The sequence below is a fragment of the Homo sapiens genome, chromosome 16 (assembly GCF_000001405.40).
Source record: "Homo sapiens chromosome 16, GRCh38.p14 Primary Assembly".
Lineage (NCBI taxonomy): Eukaryota > Metazoa > Chordata > Mammalia > Primates > Hominidae > Homo > Homo sapiens.
This window is the reverse complement of record NC_000016.10, coordinates 87072806-87078805: the sequence shown is the minus strand read 5'-3', so window position 1 is coordinate 87078805 and position 6000 is coordinate 87072806.

Genomic DNA, 6000 nt, shown 5'->3' with positions numbered 1-6000 from the left:
TGTTGGGTTCTTTTCTTTTCTTTTCTTTTCTTTTCTTTTCTTTTCTTTTCTTTTCTGTTTTCTTTTCTCTCTTTCTTTCTTTCTTTCTTTTTTTTTTTTCTGAGATGGAGTTTTGCTCTTGTTGCCCAGAGTGGAGTGCAATGGCGTGATCTTGGCTCACTGGAACCTCCGCCTCATGGGTTCAAGTGATTCTCCAGCCTCAGCCTCCCAAGTAGCTGGGATCACAGGTGCCCACCAACCCCCCGGCGAATTTTTTTATTTTTAGTAGAGACGGGGTTTCACCATGTTGTCCAGGCTGGTCTTGAACTCCTGACCTCAGGTGATCCACCCGCTTCGGCCTCCCAAAATGCTGGGATTACAGGCGTGACTGTTGGGTTCTTTCTATTGCTTTCTGTTGGGTTCTTTCTGTTGAGTCTGCCATATTCCCTCCCTCATGACGCCTTGGCGCCTGTGAGGCTCTCTACTCCCAAAGCTCTTCCTGGTTTGAATAATGAACATCTCCTGCTTCAGTTTGCCCCTTCAACATAATTTTGCACTTCCTCAGCAGGGAGGTCTCCTTCACCTTCTCAGATGAGGTCGGCTGTGACTTTCAGGCTTTGTAACACAGCTCACTTGGTTGACCCTAAAACGTATTACAGTCATCACTTTCCCTGCACTTGGTGATTTTATTAACATTTCTTTCTGCCACTGGACAGAGTTCTAGGAGGGTGGGAGATGGGTCTGTGTAGCAGACGCAGATACACGACATCTTGTTGAATAAAGAGATGCATGCGTGAACACTTGCAGAAAGCTGGAAACCAAATGGGTTTGGGAAGTGCTGACTTGAGTGCAGTGAAACAGCTCCCCCCCACAGCAGGGTGTCCCCCCACAGCAGGGTGTCCCCCCACAGCAGGGTGTCCCTCCACAGCAGGGTGTCCCCCCACAGCAGTGTGCCCAGAGCCTCTGACCTGTTGCAAAGCCCCGGGAGATGGCTGGTTAGTTACATTTGGCAAATTCTGCTTCCTCCAGGTAATTAACCGTGGAACATTTTAGTTGGAGTAAGGCATAACATTTTCTGGAACATTCATATCTTGGGGAGGGAAGATTTGGTTTGGGAAATGCTGACTTTTGGTATAGTTATCTCCCCTCTACATATGCTTGCATGTGTTCCCATTCCCCCATGTGTGCATGTATGTATATACATGTGTATGTGTGTGTTTGTATGTGTGTGTGTGTGTGTGTATTTTCCCCTTTTATTCCCATTGCCTGCAACTGCAGGTGGAAGTGACAAAGGCCATGTTTAGGTCAAGGACAAATGGAGCAGGTGCTGTGGGCGTCTTGCTAGGTCACACCAGCCTCTAGGGGGAGCTCCTGGGCCTTGGCAGGCAGCTAAGCACAGGGCCTCTGGGGCCGGTCTCCCTGGCTTGAATCCTCTCAGGCCAGCTTGTCAGCTCCTGGCCTTGGGCAAGTGATGTACCTGTGACTCAGTGGCCTCCTCTGTATGAGGGGCAGCAGCAGCAGCTACTCGTGGGATCATTGTGAGGCCTGAGTGGGTCACTACAGGCCGACAGCGGGCAGAGGCCCTGCACAGAGCACAGGCACCATGGGCACGGTGGGTACTCTGGCTGGGAAGATGACTCATTTCCCGGACTCAGTGCCCTCCCGGCCCTCAGGCCCGTCTCCTTGGGCGGGGAGTGTGAAGTCATGGATTGCTGCTTGGATTCAGGGGCAGATGAAAGGGCCTCCTCCGAGGAGAACCCAGGAAGATCAGTGCAACCACTTCAAATCCTCTGAGGAATGAGGTGTGTGGGGAAACAGACAAACCAGCACTTGCACAGGTGGCGTCATGCCTTATCCTGCAGCCCCGATTCAGCCACCAGGATCCTCCGCACGCAGCTGGGAAGGGAACTGGAGCCAGTGCCAATGGAGGGGGAAATAGATGTTTCCTTCCGGCTGAGATGCGACGGAGATAGGAATCTGGAGAGAATTCAGATGGGGAAAATAAAAGATCGATAACACCTAAGGCTGGGGGTGTGTGTGGGAAAGCAGCTGCTGGTAAGTTGCGTGTGGCTGCCTAAATTGCCGTAAGTTTGTGAGAGAGGAAAATCTGACCATTGTTTTGGAAATTTGAAACACGCGTAAAATTTGACCCTGCAGTCTGATGTGGAGGAATCTAACTTAGAGCGTCAGGGAGTAATGACACTGGAGGAGGCACTGACCACCTGATGAGCAGGGGCGAGAGCGGCCATCAGCCAGTCTTTAGAGTGACGGGGAATGGTAGGACAGATGGTGGCTCACTAGCCGCAATGCTGAGCAGTATGCTGCTGGCAGTGTGAGCGTGTTAGCGCTTTATGTGTTGGCGTTGCACACGTGTGTAATTGAGTAAAATGGCAAGTTGTTGAGTTTTTTTTGATTTTTGAGTTGGGGTCTGGCTCTGTCACTCAGGCTGGAGTGCAGTGGCACAATCTCACTCACTGCAGCCTCGACCTCCTGGGCCCAAGCCATCCTCCCACCTCAATCTCCTTAGTAGCTGGGACTACAGGTGTGTGCCACCACACCCTGCTAATTTTTAAAATTTTTCTTTTTGTAGAGATGGGGTTTTGCTTTGTCACCCAGGCTGGTCTTGAACGCCTGAGCTCAAGTCGTCCTCCTGCCTCAGCCTCCCAAAGTGCTGGGATTACATGCTTGAGTTACCTGCCTGGCCCATTGAGTAGTTTTGAAAAGAAGAAAAACACAAGCTATAGATGGGTTGGGGTGACCATAGGAAAGTGTGGAAGAATTCACAGCAGATAAACCCTGCTCAGCCTCCGCCAGTGGGGCTGGAGGAAGGGGTAGCAGAGAAACCAACCAACAAAAATATTAAAATGGGGGCAGGGAGGGGGACAAAAAATACTTATCCCTATAAAGAGAGAGGAGAAGAATCCAAGTAGCGGTATGGAGAAGTGGTCACATTAATTTGACAATTTGGAGGAAGGAAAAGGATTTGTTAGGCAAGAAGAAAATGTAATTTTGTCATTGTGGGGCCCCCTTCTTTCTGCTGGGGGCGAGGCCCCGGCATTCTCCTTCCGTCTCCTCACACCCTCTGAGGGTCAGAGCTTGTCCCCTGGCCTTCTATGACAATACTAGTCACCGCTGGCCACTGGCCCCAGCCGCGTGAGGCAGTGTCCACGCTCAGCCAGTGATGGGTGCTTTCCGACTTGCTCCGCAGCCATGTGGACTGGGGTCACATTAGGTCTAGCAGCCATGTGGACTGGGGTCTCCTCAGGTCTCACAGCCATGTGGATTGGGGTCTCCTTAGGTCTCTCAGCCATGTGGACTGGGGTCTCCTTAGGTCTCACAGCCATGTGGACTGGGGTCTCCTTAGGTCTCTCAGCCATGTGGATTGGGGTCTCCTTAGGTCTCGCAGCCATGTGGATTGGGGTCTCCTTAGGTCTCGCCATCTCTGTCTGGGCTTTGGGTTTTCCATTAGTAAATTCCCTTTCAGTGCTGTTTAAGTTTTCTCGTTGTTGTTATTTTGCTTTTGTTTGTTACTGTGGTTATTTTTAGCCCGGTGGCTGAAACCGGGACACTGAAGCGTGACAGAAAGAGACCCACCGTGAGTGAGGCGGGTCATCAACACATCCGCACTGTCTGCCAGAGCTGGCTGGGTCTCATCATCATAACCTGAGCTGCTGAAAACAAAGCAGAACAACAAAGAGACTCTGGGGCCCACCCGCTGGGTCCGGACCCAGCACGTCGCTGGGGCGTGCAGTTTAAATGAGTTTGTCTCCTGTGTACTCATCCGGAATGCTAGGTTGCTTTTGTGCACAAATACACCAGTTACATCACTGTCTGTAGATGAAAAAAAAAATAAGAAAAGAAGAAGGTGTGTAAAGCACCACACATGTTCCACGCAAGGGAAGGGTGAGCGGATCCCTGATGGTGGGAGGCAGTCAGGCAAAGCTAAAACTAGCTTCAGGCTCAGGGCTGTCTCCCCAAAGGGCCTCTTGGGCCATCTGCTGATGCCTGAAACTCCTGGTCCTTGCAGTAGCAGAGGGACGAGGCAGGAGTGGGGTATTCCTGAAGGGCTGGACGCTGGCCCCAAGCAAGGTTGGGAGGTCGCCTGAAACTCTTCTAACACGATAAGGTGGGCTTCAGTAGTCACCAGGTATGTGGAAAATGAGCGTCATTCAGGAGAAAAAGGTATTTATTTTCCTCTTATTTATATTTCTTTGTTTTTTCCAAATTTCCTCTATGTATTATCAAGGTAGTTACCTAATCATATTATGAATTGAAAAAAAGGGGTTCTCAGAAGTCTTATTACTGAAACGGAGTTAGATGTTTTGGTGTGTTTCCTTCCAGTATTTGTCTAAGCATTGGGCTATTTTATAAAATGCTGCACGTGCTATATACAGTAGGTATTTTCTATACACATTTCCCCATTGATGGTACAAGCTGATGTTACAATTCAGGCTGCGCTCTGTGATCCCAGAAGCACCATGTGAGGTGTTTTATAGTTATGTAAGGATTTATTTAGCCAGTCCCCCACTTTCTTTGACTCTTAGGCTGTCATTTCTGCCAGGCCCACTTTTTGCTTTTATTATAAATAATGCTATAATGGACATGTTTTGTGTACAAACCTTTCTTTTATATTGGTTGATATTCATATGTAATATTTATAAGTATTATTTATAATATAGGTATAATATAATTTTAAAAATGTTTAATATTATTTCTATACGTTAATTCCCAGAATTACAAAGACAAAAGTTTACATATTAAAAATATAAAATTTTATATTATAAAATTAATACATGGACATTGTAGAAAATGTAGAAAATGGAAAGGTAAATAAATAATAGTAATAAAATAAACGAACTTCTCAAATCAGATAACTATTGTTATGATTTTGGTAATAACTACTTAGTCTTTTGTTTCTGTGCATTTTACAAAATCAGACATTTCGTTCTAGGTAGTCTTTTGTAACACTTTTTTTCACCTCATGGAATATGAATATTTGATATTTAAAAAATACTCTTCAAATTACTTGATTTTTTAATGGCTGCATAATACTCTCCACAGATTTATCATAATTTCTTTTTTTACATTTCAGTCCTGCTCCTTCTGTAAGACTTATCCTCACACAGCTCCTACATTGCACTTGCTTCCCGTTTTTTCTTGCTGCAAAAATTGCCCAGTAAAGACAATAACTCTTGCATGAATCTCCACAGGAGAATGTAGAAAATGAATCAAAGTGTGCGATCACTTGTAAAACTTAGAAAATATGTTACTGAATTTCTTACCAGAAAGGCTGTTTGAATTTAAAACAACTTCGCTGTCATGAAATATTTTTTAAAACCCTCATCTCATCAATTTAAGGCAAAAAGTGGCAATCTAGTATTTGTTTCAATTTGCACTTCTTTGATTACTAGTCAGGATGGTGTGTTTAAAAACGTGTTTATAGGGCATTTGTATTTCTTCTCTTCATGTCCCATTGTACATTTTTCTCGGGGATTTGTAAGCATTATTTACAGATGAAGGACGGTGCTTTATATGTTATTTAAGTTGCAGATTTTTCTCACTTGTTCGTTTGTATTTTAATTTTGTTTTCTGACTTTTTGTCAAATAGGTGTTATAAATTGTATGCAGATGTTTCAAAGTGTACGATCTATTTATCTTTCGTTGTTTCTTTGGTTTTATACTTTGAAAGGCCTTTCCCACTCTAAAGTAAGAAATGTATATTTTATTTTATTTTTAATTTTTATTTATTTATTTATTTTGAGAAGGAATCTCACTCTGTCACCCAGGCTGGAGTGCAGTGGCACAATCTTGGCTCACTGCAACCTCTGCCTCCCAGGTTCAAGCGATACTCCTGCCTCAGCCTCCTGAGTAGTTGGGATTAAAGACACATTCCACCATGCCCAGCTAATTTTTGTATTTTTAGTAGAGATTGGGTTTCATTATGTTGGCCAGGCTTGTCTTGAACTCCTGACCTCGTGATCTGCCCGCGTTGGCCTCCCAAAGTGCTGGGATTACAGGCGT